General features: G+C 43.6%; 1 long non-coding RNA gene across 1 annotated transcript in view; it reads right to left on the bottom strand.

Annotated features, from left to right (window-relative positions):
- Positions 1-21,164, bottom strand: part of LIFR-AS1 (LIFR antisense RNA 1) — a 114,431-nt gene that overhangs the window by 14,036 nt on the left and 79,231 nt on the right. Inside the window, exons 3-8 of the long non-coding RNA NR_103554.1 lie at positions 16,152-16,252; positions 12,736-12,831; positions 10,467-10,549; positions 9,746-9,948; positions 4,021-4,104; positions 3,229-3,316 (exon numbers count right to left, since the gene is read on the bottom strand). This is a non-coding gene — a long non-coding RNA (LIFR antisense RNA 1). The remainder of the gene's footprint in view (positions 1-3,228; positions 3,317-4,020; positions 4,105-9,745; positions 9,949-10,466; positions 10,550-12,735; positions 12,832-16,151; positions 16,253-21,164) is intronic.

Below are 21,164 nucleotides of genomic sequence, written 5' to 3'. Positions count from 1 at the left end.
AAAGGGGAGAGTGAGGAGGGAGTGGCAGGGGATACAGGGTCATGATGGTCATTTTATTTCTTCCTAGAATATGATATTCTTTGCAGGTTGCCAGCATGCTTATTTTTATGTAGATTTGACCTTCACTGCAACCTTGAACAACTAAAATAGAATAAGATCCCTATACGCTACTTCAAAAAGCTTGGCTCTTGAAAGTATATAAAAATATAAGACAAAGGCAGGAAAACTAACCAGCCCACAGCTTTGAGCAAAGAATCATAAGGCTTCTTGGGTCTAGTTAAAATATCAGCTTTGTGCATATTAGATTCCATCCTGTGTTTGATTATTTCTGCAGTGAGTGCTGCCTTTATCGATTGTTAGAGTGAAATGTTCAAGAGCATTATATTACAATCTGTCTCTAAATGGCTTTTCAGAAATTTCCTGTAACTCAGAGGCAGAAATTATGCAGGGAACTGAGAGCAAAGCAACTAGACCGTTGAATTTCACCCAGACTTTTGCATATGGGAAAGTGATAAAGCATGGCCAAAGAGACTTATATTGGTTTTCTTAGTAAAGAGGGTCACTTTCAGCTTATTATTATCTCATCACCAGAAGCTATGCTGAATACTATATAAAGTCAAAGTGACGGGGGTTGCGGCTTTGAGGGTCACAATACTTTAAAGATGTCTTAGAGTCCAGAGCCTTTTGGCTCATGTTGCTCGCTTGATGATCTCCTTCATCCAGCTACCTCCTACGTGTTCTTGCCTAAATCTCACCTCCTCCATGAAGCCTCTCATCCTTTTTAATTGATTTCTTCTTATTTGAAAACTTATTTCTTTTAACCACTGAATGTAATTTATAGATTATTTTCTAATATATATTATATATGTTCTAACATATTATTTTCTAATAGTTTCACTTGCAACCAAGAGTACATCTTATACACTGTATGTCCTCCAAAGAAAGGTATAATGGATCGTGAATAGATTAAGAGCTCTTTCTGTGTGTGTATGTCATCCCCCCACCCTGCCTGCCAAACACACGCATATTGGCTCTTTTAGTCAAAGACGTGGCTTATCCAAATTAATAATCTTTGGGTTGTATATACCAGAAACTCCAACTCAACTCAGCTTAAACAATAAAAGGAATTACTGACTCAACACAACTGAAAAATCTATTTGTAGATGTGGTTTCCAGTGAAGCTCAATCCAGTGGCTCAAAGACCTGATTTCTTTCTGTCTCTCTGCTTTACTTGCCATGAAATTGGCTTAATCTCGTAATTCCGTTGGTCACGGATGGCTGCTAGCAGCTCTTGGGACAATACGTGCATCATCATTCACACCTAGACTAAGGGGTATCATTGTCCCAGCATCCCCAGCAAAGGTCCTGAGAATCACTTGCTTGAACTAGTTAAGGTCACACGTTCAGCCGTAACCATTCCATAGAAAGAAGTATGGATCAACTGATTAACTCAGTCTAGCTTCTCTGGAACTATATGGATTCCCAAACCAAAATTGGGAAGGTCATATGGGCACATGGGAGCTTGACAAGTGAACAACAGATGCTATAAATCTTCAGCCAATTTTATCCACCTCCCATGATCTGCAAAACATTGCATCTCATATATAAGGGATTTGTTTGCTGGCTTTTAGGTATTTTTATTTTAGAGAAAATAAAAGGAACCAATCTATAACTTTGGCATTGGCTGGCCTCCACAGAGTTTGGCAAGCTTTCAGTGGGCCACATCAGTAGAAGTTTTTACAGGGATGGTAGCTCCCTTCTGTTCACTGCCTATCACCACAATTTTCTCTTCAAAAAAAATGTGAAGAAGGAGAGATGGAAAGAAGAAAGGGAAAGAAGGGAGGGAAGGAATGGGGAAGGAGAGAGGGAGGGAGGGAAGGAAGGAAGGGAGGAAGGGAGGAAGGGAGGAAGGGAGGAAATGAATAAAAGGAAAAAAAAAAAAGCAGTGCGTTTTCCAGGCAAACACAGAAGTGCCTGTGGCTCTGGCTCACTCAGGCTGGGGAGACTCCCTGGACCAGGTCTGTGAATATAGTATTAACAATGTACAATGAAGGGCTGGGTGTGGTGGCTCATGCCTGTAATCCCAGCACTTTGGGAGGCCAAGGCGGGCGGATCACCTGAGGTTGGGAGTTTGAGACCAGCCTGACCAACGTGGGGAAACCCCATCTCTCCTAAAAATACAAAATTAGCTGGGCGTGGTGGTGCATGCCTGTAATCCCAGCTACTTGGGGGGCTGAGGCAGGAGAATCGCTTGAACCCAGGAGGCGGAGGTTGCGGTGAACCAAGATCATGCTATTGGACTCCAGCCTGGGCAACAAGAGCAAAACTCCACCTCAAAAAAAAAATAAAATAAAAAATAAAAGAAAAGAAAAGAAAAAGAAAGAATGTACAATGAAAAGCCACCATCATTTGCTAGATCTTCCTTGTAACTGCTAATTTCTTGTCAAATGAATACTAGATATTTTTTTAAGGTGGGGTTGAGTTCCTTGAGGTAATATTCTCCTTAAATATGAACCTTGTTTCTTCTTGGCTTCATTTTAAAACTCTACAGAGGGAAGCCATATCCCATAGATTTCTATTTCTATGTTGCTGTTTCCAACAAGATCTGGGGTCGTTCCTGCTGTCTGCAATAAGCTATAGGTCTATGAAAGGACTAAATGTACTTTCTGTCTGTGTGACTGACAAAGCAAAGCCTGGTTTTCAGGGCTCTGCTCACAAAAGCTAAGAATGGCAGAGAAGGCACACCAGGAAAATGATGATTACTTCACTGATTTTGGAATAATGATCTTGCCTCCTGAAAAGGTCAACCTTCCATTTGAATTGAGTGTGGGAAGAAAGGATGGCAGGTAGGGAAGAAGATAAATGTCTTCTAAGGAGGGTCTGTGTAAAAGACATAAATACCTCCACATCCTTTTGCATAACAGTAATTATCTTTAGTATAAATTGCAGACTTAGGAACATTAAAAATATTTTTCACTTTGCATAGCCCAATATTGGAAAATATGATATACAAAACATCAAAGAAAGGAAAGGGGATGAGGTAAAAGTAGAAAGAGAAATTCTTCCTTTTACTAAAAGACATCTACAGGGTCATTTAAATGACAAATTCCTTGGCCTTATATGGTAGTTCAACTCTCCCAAATGTTTTTGGAACCCATCTACTTTGTAAAAGGAGGTAAGATTCAATCTTCAATGGCTTGTTTCAGCTTGAATTAAAATGTGACATACCTGCTTCACTTGTTCAGAAGACTTCAGTTTAAAGAGATCTTAAACACATTTTTTAGTGTCTTCTTTAAGCTTCTGCATTGAAAAAGATCTGGAAGACAGGAATAGTGCTTGCTTTTTGGAAGGAATCATACCAGATGAGAGGCACAGACTTCACTAAAACCAAAATGATGTGTAGAGACACAATGTTCCATTTTCAGGAAGGTTTGTCTGGACTGGAAGAAACTGCTGCCTAGTCCTGTCACCTGGAACAAGGGGGGATTTCATTTGCCAATGAGGGGCCCTTTAGGCCCTGCCAGTCTTGGAGTTTGTGTACCTGGGTCAGCCAAGCAAGAATCAAGGAGGGTACAATGCACGCATTCAAAGATCAGTGTGTTCTTCTTGGCAAGTGTGCCTTTTGGGCACTGTTTGTCCCCAGCACAATGCAATCCCCACATTCTCAACCTTGTGACATTCAAATGTCTGCTAACTGCTTTCTTCATACCAAACGCTTATGAAAGGAGCACTCTACAATCACAAAATTAGAAAACTCATTTATATCTAATCCTTAGACAAGATAAACTGGAGGTCATTGTGGTAACTCCTTACCACAAATGATAAGAATGGTAACTTAAAAGTTTAATAATAAGCAGTTAAGCCAGGCATGGTGGCTCACATCTGTAATCCCAACACTTTAGGAGGCTGAGGCAGGAGGATTGCCTGAGGCCAGGAGCTCAAGACCAGCCTGAGCAACATGGTGAGACCCCCATCTCTGCCAAAAATAAAAAATAATTAGCTAGGTGTAGTGGCACATACCTGTAGTCCCAACTACTTGGGAGGCTGAGGCAGGAGGCTTGCTTGAGCCTGGGAGGTCAAGGCTGCAGTGAGCTGTAATTGCTTCTAAAAGACAATAGTGAGATAGAAGCTTAACAGGTGCTTCTAAGATGTTTTCAGTTCTTAACAGAATGTTCATGGCCTGATATTGACCTATAATTGTTGTTAGAGTATCAAGTGCTGCATTCTCTTTGCAAGGTAATTTTCACAGCTATGGTAGAGTAGAAATAGCACCAACCAGATCCTTCCTATAATGTTAGGTGTGATTCTGGATATCAAATATTAGTGGGACCCAGAGAGAACTTACAAAAGGCACAAAGAAGACTAAAAAGTCTGATTAAAAGATTAAAAAATAAGAAAAAAAGGAAGGTGGTATAAAGGTCTTGGACTTATTTAGCTCAGGAAAAAACAAAGGTTGTTCTGAATTGATGATTGCTGGCATCTGTAAGTCTTCACATGTAGCATGCAGGCTGGATGTGGTAAGAATATGTGAATGTCAATATCGAGGAGTTTGTTGAAGTCAAAATAGGTTCCCAACAGTGATTGAGGACTGGTCTTTCCAACAAGAGATACTTTATGAAAAACTTTGTCCAATAGCTAAAGAAGAAAAACTCCTTAAAAGCTTCTCACCCTTGTCAATTATTTCTCTCTCCGTGGACCTCATGTTTTTAAATATCCTGTAAATCAATTGCTTATGAATAATCATATATTCACTCTGGTTTTCCTAGGATAGTCTCAATTTATGCATTTTGTCTTGTGTAATTATCAACAGCTTTCCCTTTCAGTATCTGAGTATCCCATTTGAAAAATAAGGCATATGATTATTCTAATAAGAGCTAGCATGATTTGATTTTGGAAATATATATGGATTCGACAGGTTACACTCTGTTTAAAAGTGGCTCAAAAGATTCTATTATTGTGAAATTGGCTTAAGCAGATGATCTTTTAGCCTGCAAATACATGATTCTGCGACACCATTGACATTACCGAAAACAACTGTTCATCTCATGAGAATGAAAGGGACAACAACCCCTCCAAGGTCTCTTCAGCCTCATTTGGAACAGGCAGGAATAATAACAAATGTCACACTCTTAGCCATGAGTCTAACGAAAGAGAAAGCATCATTCCACCATCTGAGCTGGGAACTTTGTGGTTTTCAGATGTTCAGGAATCCGGGCCGCTACCCATCCTGATATTCTGGGAATGCATGATTGTGAAAAGAGAATCAACACGAGACCTCTATATTGAATTATTTAATTAATTCAGAAAATACTTATTGAGCCCCTCCTTGTGCCAGGCACTATTCTAAGTACTGGGATTTTGTACTCCACCATGCCGGGGAGTCAGGCTCCCCACATGAACCAGTAATGGCTGTGGTAGTTTCCTGAGAGCTCAGTGGGAATGGCCCTTGCAACAAGCCCAGGGATTCTGTGTTCTCAGAAATAAAAGCAAGCAAAAGAGACACAGGCTTTGTTTCTGAGAAATAATTGGTTTGGGGATTTAAGTTTATTATTTTCTTCTCCATTCTCATGCACTGATTTCGTGTTTAAGCCTCTCCTCATTTCACTCTTGGGAGCACTGGTCGAAGAGAGCAGTGTCAGCTAGAGGAGGGTTTGAGGTTTGTTTTGTTTTGTTTTAATCATGGAAGAATTCTAAAAGGAAGAATGATCAAAGTTAAATTTTTAAGAATTATGCCATGACTGTGATCATAATATTTTCCACAAATGAGGCACAAAATGGCATAAAGTTGTTATTTGTGCCCTAAACAAAACTGGAGCATTCAATCTAGATTTTATAATACAAGATCCTTATAGGCGCATAGATGGTGCTTCACGAACAGCTGATTGAGTTGAATGGAACTGTCTACTTTGGAAAACAAGAGTTGTACATTAAGAGCCTCTCCAGCGTTTTGCTCTGGATGCATTCCAAAAGTTGTTGTCACTAAAGGTTTAAATATATAAAGATGGTACAATAGACTCTATTTCCATGGAAGTAAACTGGTCTCTAATTAATATACCAGAAGCTGAGTCACTTTGTTTTTACAGGCACGTAGAGAGGAAGTGCCATCTCTCCTCGGTCGTGACACACTGCCGGTTAGCTGATGTATAGTTCTTTTTTTCTTTTTATTAAGGAGTAGAAAAGAAACAGAACTGAAAGTTGAAACAATTCGTACAAGGAAGAAGAAAGCCTGGGAAGTTACCTACATTGCCTAACATCACAGAATCTAAAGGAATCAAACTTTCTCTTTCCTTCTTGTATTTGAAGAAAGGAGACCTCATCTTAAGACGAGAATTCTTCCAGGTTTTCCTGGACAGCTTCTTTCATTCTCCACAGTGTCTGTTTCAAACTTTCCTACCTGTCTCAATGTCTTCAAGCTCATCCACAACTTCCTTGCACACCCAGGGGAGGACTTTACCCCCTACCTTACAGACAACGATGTGAGAACAAAAGCACCCCCACTGCAGCACCACGCAGCCTGTTCCCTCACCTGCATTCGTTCCCCCTCCCCCTCCCCCTCCCCCAAGCCCGGCGGCTCTCATTGGGCAACGGAAGAGGGGTCCTTCCTCCAGTCTCAGGCAAGGCTCTCCACCCATGCTTTAGATCTCTTCCTTTCCACATCTCTGGAAATTTGCTCCTGTAATCACCCACACTCTTTCCTGTATCTTCCACTCACACAGGAATGTTCTCAAATCTCCATCTTTAAAAAAAAATGAAAACAAAACCTCTCAAGTACATATTTTCATCTAAAGAGAGACTTTCTTTTCTTCAGAGTCAGGATCTTAGAAAAGGTGGCACTTGCTGTCTCCTCTTCCTCTTCCTCATTTCTTCCTTACCTGCATTTGCCTCTCCTGCTTCACAGAAAGTTTTCCCCCTGAGGCTCTTATTCCTTCCTCGTTGCTCATCCAATGAACACACTTCAATTCTTGCCTTTCTTTTTTTTTTTTTTTCCTTTTTTTTGAGATGGAGTCTTGCTCTGTTGCCCAGGCTGGAGTGCAGTGGCAGGATCTCGGCTCACTGCAACCTCCGCCTCCTGGGTTCAAGCAATTCTCCTGCCTCAGCCTCCCGAGTAGCTGGGATTATAGGCACAAGCCACCAGGCCCGGATAATTTTTGTATTTTTAGTAGAGATGAGGTTTCGCCATGTTGGCCAGGCTGGTCTTGAACTCCTGACTTCAGGTGACCCGCCCGCCTTGGCCTCCCAAAGTGCTGGGATTACAGGTGTGAGCAACCGCACCCAGCCCAATCCTTTCCTTTCTTGGGCTCTGTGGCCTTGGGCACTCTTGTCTCTTCCTATTTCTTGAATCCATAAAACTACCCTCTCGGGTTTCTTCTTACTTCTGTGGCTTCCACTTCTAAGTCCTCTTCTTGGCTCTGTTTCCCCATAAATGCAGGAGTTCCCTAGGGATTTATTCTCATCCATTCTTGTACTTTTTGCATTTCCAGAGTGTTTTCTGGGGGGGGGATGGGGGGATGGGGGGGCGCACAAACCTAATCATTACACTCTCCATAAGGTTCTCCAGAAGTTCTCAGTTACCTTCAGAGTAAATCTCACCTCTTAAGTAGGGCTTCCTACACCTGTCCTGACAGACCCATGTCAAGCCCATCTAGTATCCCTTCCCCATAAATTCTTGAAATTCTAGCCATAGTAATTAACTGAACAAATCACGTTCTTTCTGGTTTCTGTGTCTTAGAAAATGCTGCTGCCTTTGCTCAGAGCACACTTTCTTCCCCTTGTTTGCCTATCGAATTCAAGATTTTCCCCCAAAGCTCAGTGCATATTTCTATCATGGGATGTATCAATTTGTATTGTATTTATCTGTTTACCCACCTGTTTGAGTTCCTTAAGACAGGCACCCTATTTATTTATCCTGTTAAGCTCTGGGTGATTCTTTGTGCCTAACACAGTTCCATCATGAGCAATAAATTTGTTGAATGACTAAGTGGATAAATGGAAGATACCATCCCTTTCAATTCCAAGCTCAGCATGTAAACTAAGTTCAAGTCACGTAGACTTTTTCTATCAGACCTGAGTACAATGCTTCTAAAGCAATGTACATACCTCCACATAATAAGGATATTGATTTTCTATCTTCAAAATAAATGTGGCTCCTGTTGTTAGAAATGTGTTTGTTCTGACCTTCCTGGTAGTCATGGAAATGAATTACAGCCTTGGGCAAAAGGGCATCCCTCAGTCAAGGGGATGTGGTGTGATCTGGTGGGTAGAGAGGGCGTCATGGAGGCAGCATTCTATTTATAGCTGATGTTGACTCCTCCAGGCCACTAAGGTGACAAGCAGCAAAGACTGGCCCCTCCTCTCCTCTCCTCCAGTCCATCCCTGACATGAAGCTAGCTGAGAGATTTGCTCTTCTATTTTCAAATCGGGTTGCTTTTGCTGAGAGATAGAGGCCAGGAGAGCTTTGCTAAGATTTCATTCCCATGGAAGCTTCCCATTTAGTTGCTACAGCTGCGTAGTTCTTTTTTTTTTCTTTTGAGACGGAATTAGCTTTTGTTGCCCAGGCTGGAGTGCAATGGCGTGGTCTTGGCTCACTGCAACTTCTGCCTGCCGGGTTCAAAGTGATTCTCCTGCCTCAGCCTTCTGAGTAGCTGGGATTACAGGTGCCTGCCACCACCCCCAGCTATTTTTTGTGTTTTTAGTAGAGATGAGGTTCCACCATGTTGGCCAGGTTGGTCTCGAACTCCTGATTTCAGGTGATCCACCAGCCTCGGCCTCCCAAAGTACTGGGATTACAGGCATGAGTCACCACACCAAGCCATCTGCATAGTTCTTATGGGCTCACAATGGATTTGTGCTTTTGCTTTCACAAGATACTAATGTCTTTAAGAGCAAGACCTATGTATTTTTCTTTCTTTGCAGTGCCCTTCAGGCAAAGTTCAGCTGGCTGGCAGAGCTTAATCACTGCTCATAAGTATAATTACCAATCATAAACTTAGATAACTCATCCTGAATAAAAGGGTAAAGTAATCATAAAGATCTCCCAGATGGTGACATGTAAGCTTCTCTATAGAATCCTGGAAAATGTGAGAAATCAGAAAGGTTGCAATTTCATGGTACAAGCTCCTTGAGCACAATGACATGATTTTGCAAACTATTTCTAGGGTAAGAAATAATATCTTTTAAATTTGTGGCAAAATCTGCTGTAATGGGAGATTACTGCAGTGATGGACGGCTTTATAGAAACACAGTTATATGTACTTTATTAAACCATGTAGCAGGAAAAAAACATGATGGCACTCAAGAAGTTGAATTCCAGCCGCTTTCAATTTCTGGGTACATATAACCTTTTTGTTAGCACCTCTAAGACACTGAGTTTATTATCAAAATGACAAGAGCATTTGACAAAACGACCTTTGGTTCAAGACTTCTAGATCTGTCAAACATCTTGTGGTAGCCAGTCTCCAAGATGACCCCAGTGGTCGCTTCCTTCCGGTATCCATGTCCTTGTGTAGTCTCTTCCCACAATGAATAGTGCCAACATGCATAAGCAACAGGACATTGTAGAAATGATGGTATGTGGCTCCCAAGGTTGGGTCACAAAAGACATTGTGGCTTCTGCGTTTCTCTCTCTTGGATTATTTGCTTAGGGGTAAACCAGCTGCCCTGTTATGAGGACTCTCATCACAGCCCTATGGAAAGATTCATATGACCAGGAATTGGGGTTTCTTGCCAACAGACACCACCAACTTACTAGCAATATGAGTGAGCCATCTTGGAAATGTAGTCTCCAGCTCCAGTCAAGACTTCAGATGACTGCAAACTTGGCCATCATCATGTGTACAATCTTGTGAGAGGCCCGGAGCCAGAACCAAGTGAGGGTGCCATTAGGTAAGCTGTTGAGGGTGCCATTAGGTAACCAGGTGCCATTAGGTAAGCTGCTCCTAAATTCCTGATCTACAAAAAGTGCAAAATAATAATTGTTTATTATTGTTTCAAGTCACTAAATTTTGGGTAGTTTCTTACACAGCGATAGATAAAACCTGAACCAGAATTGGAAAAAAAAAATTGATAATATAACATTATAGTGGATACTGTGGTATACTACCTAGATCACTTCTTCAGGGCTGACACAACCATTTCCCAGCTATTGAAAATATTGTTTGTTGACAATACATAGCTATGTCCCTTACTAGAAATTGCCATCTAAGCTGAAGCTATGTCTTATTCAAGATTATGAGCTCCTGCCTGGGGCAGCCTGGGGCCGATGACTGACATGAGGATAAAGAAGTCAAACCCCATTCAATTTGTCCCCTTTCCAATCCTGCTTCCCTCAATTCCCTAAAGTTGTATCTCATGAGTGCTATCCAAAATAAACCTCTGCCTACAACTCTCTGTCTCAGAGTCTGGTTTCCATGCTACCAAACCTAAGAGAGTTGGTATGGTCCTTGGAGACAGGGTATGCAGCCAATTACCTGGTTCGCTTGTCAGGGCATGGGAAGAAAACAATTGAAAGACTGAGGACAAGATTGTCTGCAGAGGAGGCACTGGGATGAACCTATGGGGGTGCACACAAATTGTGAAGATTTTGTTAATGCCCACCAGATAGCATATACTGCAGAAGAGGCGCTAAATAACAAACTGACTTGGCTAGTAGACATCAGGCAGCCTCTTTTCTTTTCCACCCCAGTGCTTACACAGTGGATTCATGAGCAGAGTAGCCATGATGGCAGAAATGAAGGCTCATGCATAGCCCCAACAGCACACTCACAAAAGCTGATTTAACTATGGATGCTGCTGAGTGTCCATCCAACCTGCCAGCAACAAAGGGTAATGGGTTCCCAATATGGCACCCTCACTCAATGAAAGCAACCAGTCTTTTGGTACCAAATCAATCCGTTTGAATCTTTTCAATCCTAGATGGAGGAACAATTCATCTTGACTAGGATTGATACTTATCCTAGGCATGGGCTTGCCTTTCCTGCCCATAAGGCCTTGGCTGTGCTGTCTTGTGGCTCTTCCCTGCCTACATTTAGCGTATACATTCAGGTAAAGCAGCCATAGCCTGAAAAGGACCTGATAACCAGGGCCTTAGATTCCCCAGGGCTGAGGGTCTAGGCACTCCCCCAGACTAGCCACCTAGACCAACGGAAGTGCTGGCTGAGGGTGAGACAAACCCAGAATGAGTGGTAGAGGATAAAGACAATGAGCTTCCATTACGAATGTGAAGGCAGCTGCAGCAGCAAGGCTAGAGCTCATCCCACTGGAGTGTCCAAGTTTTCATAAGGAACAAGACTCACTGGAACCTGAGAGGATCTATGTGGGATGAGGGGATGCTATGGGGCTCTATCAGGGTTCTCTCTTAAGAGGCAATGCACTCATGTTCCAGCTGCTGGGACTCTCAGCTGCTGACAATTCATGACTACATGGCTCACTGGGAATTGCCCTTGGCTACAGAGAACTCCTTCACTTAAGGTTGCACTCTCTCCCAGAGATGGCCAGTGGCCATCTGACTGTGAGGAAACTGACTGATGTGAAGAAACAAAGGCTGGCACATTTGCTTCAGTTAGGACATCTCTGAAAGGCCATCCCAGCTCCCAAGCTTCCCACAGGAAGGGCTGAGACTCCTATTGCAGCTATGTTGTGGATCAGCTTCTGTCTTTGTCCAATCCTGCCTTCCTCAGCTCCTGACATTGTTTCTCCCAACACTCCCCCAGTAAACCTTCTGCATGCAACTCTCTGTCTCAGGGTCTGTCTCCAGGAAACCCAACCTACAAAAAGCTTCCATACAAGGATTTTTAACCTTCAATCAGCACAGCGAAAAAATGCTGCCAGAGAAAAGTCTATGCTCTTCATTGTTAATCCAGTAGATGGGAAAACTAGAAATTGCAAGCTTTGGTTGACCTGACAGTGGTTGCGAAGAAAAAGGGAGCATGTCAGGAAAGGAAGTGACTGGGAACTCTATGTCCACTTTATTCATGGATGGAGGTGTTACAAAGAATAGGGTATCAGGGGTAGGTGTGCTTGATATACCTCAGCTTTTCTGAGGGAGGTAAGCCACATGGAAAAATATCATAGTAAGGCTCTTTGCTCACTAGGTAGGTGACTTTGGTCATTTCATTGTTGCAATCTTTACTGATATACTTGCCAAACAGTGTTTTGTTTGTTGTAATAACTCTAGTTTATTTATTTGTAAATTTCTGAATATAGTCATAAACAACTGACAGTCTCTTTAAACAAGAAATTGTACAATGGAAATTTGATATTTTGCTGGAGAGACTCTGCAAAAGAAATTAGTAGGAATTAGTAGATTGTATGTTCAGAGGGTGAGGGCTCACTGACATGGTGTATTAGTCTGTTCTTACGTTGCTATAAGGACATACCCTAGACTGGGTAATTTATAAAGGAAAGAGGTTTAATTGACTCACAGTTCTGCAGGGATGGTGAGGCCTCAGGAAACTTACAATCATGGCAGAAGGAGAAGCAAACATGTCCTTCTTCACATGACAGCAGCAAGGAGAAGTGCCAAGCAAGTGGGGAAAAGCTCCTTATAAAACCATCAGATCTCATGATAACTCACTCACTATCATGATAACAGCAGCATGGGAATAACTGCCCCCAGGATTCAATTACCTCCCATGGGGCCCCTCCCAAAACACATGGAGATTATGGGAACTACAATTCAAGATGAGATTTGGGTGGGGACACAGCCAAACCATATGGGCATCTAGAGTTTACACTTACCAAGATCAATGTGATCCTTTCATGAAGAACTGATTTTTTCCTCCTCCAAATTGCTTCTCTTCTGTTTGGTTGATGTGCACTTCATTCTTCTCCAACCTGAGAGGAAGGCTGATCATAGGGATTGCCACAGGGGTCCATTCCCTCTAACTCCTGTGGGATTCAGCCCATAGGGAACACAGGCAGATCTGAGGAGTGGGGAGAGTGAGGCTAGGGTATTTTTTCCCCTCTTTCCTCTCTAGTAAGGTGGACCCAGGCTGTCAGCCTCCCTCCATGGCAGACCACACCCCCTGCCAGGCAGTCCCTCCCCGGCCCCTCTTGGCTTAGGGGTGCTAACTATCTTCAGCGACCACTTGCTCCAGGTTACTGCACTATGCCTTAGGGTTTCCCTACACTCTGCCCTGATAGAATGATTCTTCTTGCTGTCTCTTTCACATTTAGGAGACTAAATTCTAGACTCGCTTCTTACAGAAACAAGCGAAGCATCCATGAGCCAATCCCTTCACCAATGTAGGCTAAGAAATTCCTGGGATCTGGCACTCAAAGATTTAAAAGAACTTTGAACTGAATGAAGGAGACAATGTCTCCACCCCATTCCAGTGCTTTATAACCTGTTTCCTTGAGGAAAGTGACAAGGCAGGAGATGTGGGGACAAAAGGATTAGAAATTCAAAGGTGCTCGTGAAGGGAGCGAGTGCACATTAAGACTTGGCATAAGAATGGCAGCAGGCAGAAGCAGGCCCAGGCTGATGGGAGACTGAACAGCAGAACAGAGCAAAGCCAGGAAAAGGGTTTTAAGTAAACTCCTTAAACTCCTGGGAAGCCACAGGACAGATGGACAGTGCAGTGAATGACCATTCTGAGACAGCCAAGTATAAACGGTCCCCGGAGAATCGCATCTCCAATCGGTCTGCGCACTGGGAAAACAGAATGGAGGCATGGAAATTGACCCCGTTTGCAGGAAGGAGGAGCCTGGCCCTCCTGTTCCTGTGTGGTAACCTGGAATTCAATCTGTGAGATGGGGGCCTGTTAACAGGAACCCCTCTCACTTTGCTGAGAGTCTTTTTCCTTTTCGCCCAATAAATTTCATAACCCCATCACCCTTCGAAGTGTCTGCGTGCCTAACTGGTCATGTGACAAGGACCCAGTTTTTAGCTGAACTGAGGAGAAAGTCCTACAATTCCTACCATTCGCTGCCACTCCTTGTTCAGACCTTCTAGTCATAGCTTCCATTGACTGGGTGCCTCCCATGTCCCAGGCATGATGCATTATACTCATTGTCTCCTTTCATCCTCACACACAACAACCTTGGCAGGACACAGAAAGGTGGTGTGAGGAGACGAGCCGAGCTACTTGCCCAAGGACCCAGGGCCCCCTAAATGACAGAACCAGGATGCCAACCCTGGGACTTCCTCACATAGTTAATCTCCCTTTTCTAAAACAGAATTTGGCCTGGCCCTAAGGATACCTGTCCAGGCTGGAGTGAACACTGAGTTTTCACTACTTCCTCTCATCTCTCAGAAATCACTGAAGCAGGCCCAAATTCGTGGTTAGTCCAATAACAACCCACTCTATTTGAGCCAAAAATTATAGCAGGCCAGGTCCTGGGTCAGGGAGCTCATTTCCTTCTCTGCCCTCTCTCCACCTTGTCCTTCCTGCCCAGGTGTGAATCTTTCCCCAGAGCCAGGCCCACACCAGAATAAGCCCTGGGAAGCAGGAGAGTGGGACATGGCAAGGTATTTGTCTCTGTGTGTGGGATTGCACTGGGAGAGGAGGACGGAGGGAAGGCATTCCTCATGCAGTAAACAGCCCAGACCAATTTGCACCCCAGCCACTGAGCCTTAATCTTTTCATGATGCTTTGCATATTTATAACCAAGATTCCTATTGCTCTGGTACAAACAAGATTGCAATCAGCCTGCCAACAGATTCTCTTTAAACTGTCAGTCTTTATGGAGAAAAAACAGTCACTGACATTGAATGCCCTTTAAACAAGCCCCCCTTATTCTCCTTAGCTGGAAGACAGTACGCAAGCTTAGTCCTAAGAAGAGAGGGAACTTGTTTCCTTTAAACAGCCCCTGCCCAGGTTTTCTTCAGTTTGGTTAGAGCAGCCTCAACTCCTTTTAAACGCCTTGCTTAGCGGACGCCAGCCTGCTTGAGCTGCGCCTGCAGATGCCAATTTCAGCTGCCACATTTAATTTTCATGTCCTGAGGGCCTCCTTTGCTTTTTCTCATTCCCTTAAATGAATAAAAATAACTAAGGAGCATGGAGCACATGACCCTGATTCAGTGTTCAATCTTTTGCTACAGATATGTTTGCCCACGTCCAGTCCTATTTGTTTTAAAGAGAAGATGAAGCAGAAAAAGGGGACCTGTCACATCTCTGTTTCCCAGATCCTTAGAGCCTAAATACAGCTGTGAGTTAGGACAGAAAAAGTTAGTTTCCTTATCTAGAAGCCAGACATGTGTACTAGTGGCAGAAGCATGTTCTACTTTGGTTCTACTGTGAAAAGAACCAATGGAAAGAAAAAACCTAACTAACATGGACGGATTCCTTACTCGACTTGGTGATGCGGACCCTAAGGTCCCACCAGCACATGCTGATGTGACTCAAGGGCTGAAATAAAGGGGACAATGCTTCCTCGTTGTCTTCAATGGAAGAGACATCTGGGATTTTATTTTATTTTATTTTTTTGAGATAGAGTCTCACTCTGTCACGCAGGCTGGAGTGCAGTGACGCCATCTCAGCTCACTGCAACCTCTGCCTCCTGGGTTCAAGCGACTCTCCTGCCTCAGCCTCCAAAGTAGCTGGGATTACAGGCGCATGCCACCACACTCGGCTAATTTCATCTGGGATTTTAAACTGGACTGAAAAAAAATCCTGACTTCCAGCAGGTCTTTCTTAGGGCCAAAAGAGTGCTACTTAGAAGTAGGATGGGCCATGAGACTCCCTTTAGTACCCTCAGAAAGACCCCAAAAGAAACCCTTGTGGGTTTCTCACCAGCCCTCACCCCAGGACTAAGACTATGCCAAGCCCAGCCGTGAACATTGTGATCCTTTCTATGGTCCTTTTAGGGACTGTTTTGGGAGAGGCAGAGTCAAAGAGTGCATTGCAGCTGCTATTCTTATTCCTTTACCCAGCCAACCCTTAGTCGCCAGCATTTCTCAAACCATAGTTTAGCTGTGAATGCCCGAGATTTTCTTCTTGTCCTAACCACAGTAGTGCTGGTGGTCATGCTGCTTTCTGGCACAGCCAGGCAGGAGGCCAGCCACCTCAGAGCCTCAGGGAGGAGGGAGGGGAAGGATGCCTTCCCCTGGGGCCCAGAAGGGGCTGTGGGTACCAACTGCCTGGACACTCAGGCTGGAATCAAGCTGAATACACTGTAGGGAGGAACTGAAAGATCCGGGCAGGGGAACATACTCCTCAATCCAGACCAATGTTTTCAAAGGCCTCCATTTTGTGAAGGTGTTGTCATCAAAGCTTGCCTTTCTCTTTATAAATGAACTCATTTGTGGAAAATTCTGGAAATAAAGAAAAGGAGAGAGACAGAGAGAGGGAAAGAAAGACAAAATCATTCTTTTCAATGCCAGTTATTGAATGTACCCTACAGTTTCAGAGCTTTAGTCTCTCACAGAAATTCTTCTATAGTTGTTACCAACATTTTGGTCCCTCACATCTGCTCTTTAAAATGCTAGGATAGCAGTCATGAAACTCCTTGGTCCTCTCAGAGATGTGCAATTGAGGGAAATAAATTCAATTTCAGCCACTGGGTGGTATTTAGTGAGCACGTGATCAGCCTTGTACTGGGAACTCACAAGAATCTTCTCTCTTTCTTGGAAGAGAGAAGAATCTTCACTCTTTTTGGAAAGCAGAAGATTCTTCTCTCTTTTTGGAAGACAGAAGAATCTTCTCTCTTTTTGCATGTGAAACATTAGAAATGACTTGAAGTTCATATATTAATAAGGCTGGTGGATACAAGATACAGTAAAAAAAAATTTAGTTAGCAAAATAGAATTGTTGGGTGGGGCTTGAGAGAAGAAGGAATTGGAGCAGAGAACTGCATGAAATACAAGGAGAAGTTCAAGATTTTGAGTGAATTGTGTATATCATACTTATTAGCACTTCCTTGTCTTAGAATCTTCTTTGCTCCTTACACACACACACACACACTCTCTCTCTCTCTCTCCCTCTCCAATGCCCTTTCCTCATTCCTCCCTTTACTGAAAGCTGACTCATGCTTCACAGCTTAGCTTAACCTCTGTCTTCTTCATGTAGACCTTTTCAGCATCTCAGCCCACGTTGATTCCCCTTCCTGGAAACTCTCCTTCACTTAGAGTCAATATCATTCAGTTAAGTACTTAGTCGATTTCTATTTGTTTCAAGGGTGTGTTTGTCTTGCTTGGTAAAGGATAAGGCTCTTAGGAGAAGGATCATATGTTCCAGTAGGATCAGACATGGGGAGATACAGTGGAGCCACTTTGCAAACACTGGTTTAATGGATGAAAGGTTCGGTTCAGAACCTTGTTTCTCTGGGAACATTATCACCAAGAGTCCTCATCTGGGCAAGCGTTTTGTTCCTTGGCCATTTCATCAGTGCCACCACACAGGCTGCCTCATACTCTTAAATGGCTCTTCAGTGTTCTGTTTCCAGCACAGTCGGGGAGATTATGTTAGTTTCTTGCAAAATGTTTGAGAGGAGTTTCATTGTTCTTAGAAGGCAGAGAAGAGCAATTGGCCCACTTTTCTGTACTTTACACATGAAATATTTGTTTAAGCTGTGATAAAAAGCCAAACTTGGAAAGTGCTGCTATAAACTCAGAGTGCAAATGAGGGCCAGTCTAAGGGTGATCAATTCAGCTAATATGCAATAGATTCAGCTGCCACCTCCAGAAGAGCCAACATTAGTTAATCAGTATATGGGCAATCCAGGACGTTTGTTCTGGCTGAGGTCCCACCTGTTCTCTCTTTTTAGCATTTTGTGTTTCTAAGATTTCTTCCCCAGGAGGGATGAAGGAGAGGCAAGAGGATTGAGAAAAGAAGACAGTGAACAAAGACAATGTTGTTGGTAACCCAGCCCTGCTAGAGACTTGGTGGAGTGAAGGTGAAAGTCGATGCTCATAACAAAAGTTCTGGGTTTAGGATCACCTCAAGATTTAGATCTATGTCAGCCATACCCCTACTGACTGGGAAATGCACAGAATGTTAGTCTGAAGGCAAAATGGGCCATGTGCAGTCATTGAAACACGCCTGCTGTGGTATGAATATTTGTCCCCTCCAAACCTCATGTTGAAATTGGATTCCCAATGTTGCAGGTGATTCTCAATGGGAGGTGTTTGGGTCATTCGGGCAGATTTCCCAAGAACAGATTAATACCGTTTGTTTCAGGAAAAACTCTCCGAAACTGCATTTTTCCTCTGATTTTGTTATGGTAGCTAGCTAGCCAGGCATGAGCAGGCAGAAGAGGGCTCCTCCTGACCCACCAGGAATGTCAGATGACCATCAGGTGATGGTCCGGCAGTTGTCACACTACCTCTCTAAAAATGATAATTGGTTGCAGGTGCAAGGGAGAGGCAATTTCACAACAGATGAAAACATTTGAAATTGGTAACCAGCAGCTCAGGAATTGGGTGAGTAGGCTCAGGCATGCGCATTAAGAGACAAAATGGTGGAGTATGACCTTCTGGGAGCATTCCACTGGAAAAGAGAAGAATGCCACAGTCAAGAATTTGAACAACTCCAGTAAACACGCTGAGCATGCTCACCTCTCAAGTATTAGCAGGCCACTGTGCATGCGGGTGGCCCACCCTAAGGGAATAATCATGGGAAAAAGGACACAAGACCCCGGGAGTATGCCAACCTATAAAACCCCAAGTCAAAAGGTCAAATGTCCCATTTGACCTCCACAGCACCCACTTGAGTCTCTTCCAAGTGTACTTTCCTTTCTTTCCTGCTCTAAAGCTTTTTAATAAACGTCCTCTCCTGCTCTGAAACTTGCCTCAGTCTCTTTCTCTGCCTTATGCCCCTCAGTTGAACTCTTTCTTCTGGGAAGGCAAGAATTGAGGTTGCTGCAGACCTGTACGTATTTCCCATCAATAACCCAGATATTCGCCACCCCTAACACTCTCACACCACCACAACAATCAACACACTGAAGACTTCTGTGACCAAAGGTGTGGGAGTTTCTCCCCACCACAAAGCAGTGAACACCAGTTGGGTGTCAAGTCCAACACGATCTACCTGGAGATAGTATCAGATCCCATAGGTTGAGGGCTCAGTCCCCAGGACTGCTGCCCACTCCACCACACACCAGTCACAAGACCAGGCCTCCACAACTTCTGACTGACTGGCTTCAAGTTGCAATTCCCATTTTGGGTTCAATTAATTGCTGGAGCAGCTCACAGCACTCAGGGAAACACAATTAGTGGTTTATTGTGAAAGATATTGCACAGGATACAGACGAAGAGCTGGGTAGGGCAAGGTATGCGGGAAGAGGCACGGGTTCCCATGCCCTCCAGAGGTATGCCAGCCTCCAGGAATCTTCACGCGTTCAGCTGTCCGAAAGCCCTCTGAACCCAGTGGTCTTGGGTTTTTAGGGAAGCTTTATGACATCAGCATTTCTTCCCTGCGGGTGTAAGGTGGGACTATCTCAGGGGAGGGTCTTAAGTCCCACAGTCAGAAAGGTGAGGAATATTAGAGTCCTGTCCTGGGGCAGTGAAAAGAGGGTAAGAGACAGATGCTGTTTCTGAACACACCCAACATTTTAACAAAAGATTATAAAAAGGGCTATGTGAGTTATGAGCCAGGGACCATGGATGAAAGCCAGTATATATTATATATACCTATATAAATATATATGTATAAAAACACCACAGGCCACACCCTTGGTTTTTGTTTGTTTCTTTAGAGACGGAGTCTGGCTCTGTCGCCCAGGTGGGAGTGCAGTGGCATGATCTTGGCTCACTGCAGCCTCCCCCTCCCGGGTTCAAGCAATTCTCCTGCCTCAGCCTCCCAAAGTAGCTGGAATTACAGACATGCACCACCATGCCCAGCTAATTTTTTGTGTTTTTAGTAGAGACAGGGTTTCACCATGTTGGCCAGGCTGATCTGGAACTCCTGACCTCAGGCGATCCACCCACCTCGGCTTCCCAAAGTTCTAGGATTACAGGCGTGAACCACCATGCCCGGCCCACACTCTGATTTTTGACCATGGACCCCTTACATCAAAAAAAAATACATAATCATAAATAATTAGTCCAGTCCATCATATGTGAATGTCTCTCAGAGTGAGACCACACAGGTTTGAAGATTTCCTTTCAATTTTGTTAGGTTCCAAAAGCAGGAGTGATCTTGGTAAAACATATACACCCTTTCAGGCATCTGGAATAATTGAGCTAAGAGACAATGTCATCTCTTGTTCTGGGACTCCTTTGAGTTGTTAATGTAATATTGAATTTCCCTCAATTAATAACCTATTTATTCATTTCTTTACACTCAGCGACATTTCTCCTTCTCTCCAGGAATACCCAAACCTTTTCACCTTGTGAAGGGACATTAGAATCGCCACTGCGCTGGCCTAGATTGCAGGCAGCAATACAGGTCTAGCAAGTACCTCCTCCTCAGTCCACTCCCACTCAGATAGTGTAAGGTTACACAGGTACAGAGCTAGTGAGCTATTTTTACCACCAGGAAATATGGCTGCTTCGCTCTTAACCCCAATGTTGCTAGATGGGAGGAAGGCACAGCCCACCTCCATCAGGCCCTCAGGAATTCTGAGTTTTGTAGCCTTGGTCCTAGGACCACTGCATCAGATAGGGGAGAAAAAGAAAAATTTTTTGAGGTGATTTTGGGAAGAAAAAATATATATATAGTTTTATAGTTATAGTTACATAACTATTACCCTGATATAACAACTATCTATCTATCTATCTATCTATCTATCTATCTATCATCTATCTATCATCTATCTATCTATATAGTTGTTTTAGTAGAGACAGGGTTTCTAATATATATGTATAGTTGTTATACCAGGGTACTCCTCCCTTGGCAAGATGGCATAGCCATAGCAGCATCCATCCTCCCTACCTGCTCTTCCCCACATCAATCAGAAAAACAGAAAAAATCTAGTGGGGACACTAGCCCCGTTCATGTTCGGGGTGAGCACACACTCGTGAAGGCTTATCAGTGAGGGCCTTTCCATCAGGAAACCTGTCTCATAGCTATCCACAATTTCTGTCTCTGTTGGTAACAAGCAGAGTAATTCTTACTTGCATTATGTGCCAGAGAGGGTGCAAAGGTAGCATGCCTCAATTCAGCCCATCTCTGCCCGCTGCAGTGACCTATGTCCCCTCATTTCATGGACCCAGGTGGCCACCTCCAGGGAGCACACAGGGATACCTACTTGTTGATTCCAGTCACCTTCCAGACCTGGAAGGG

Source organism: Homo sapiens, chromosome 5 (genome assembly GCF_000001405.40).
Source record: "Homo sapiens chromosome 5, GRCh38.p14 Primary Assembly".
In the NCBI taxonomy this organism is placed as follows: Eukaryota; Metazoa; Chordata; class Mammalia; order Primates; family Hominidae; genus Homo; species Homo sapiens.
The sequence above is the reverse complement of the archived record's forward strand: the minus strand, read 5'-3'. Positions and strand labels throughout refer to the sequence as shown.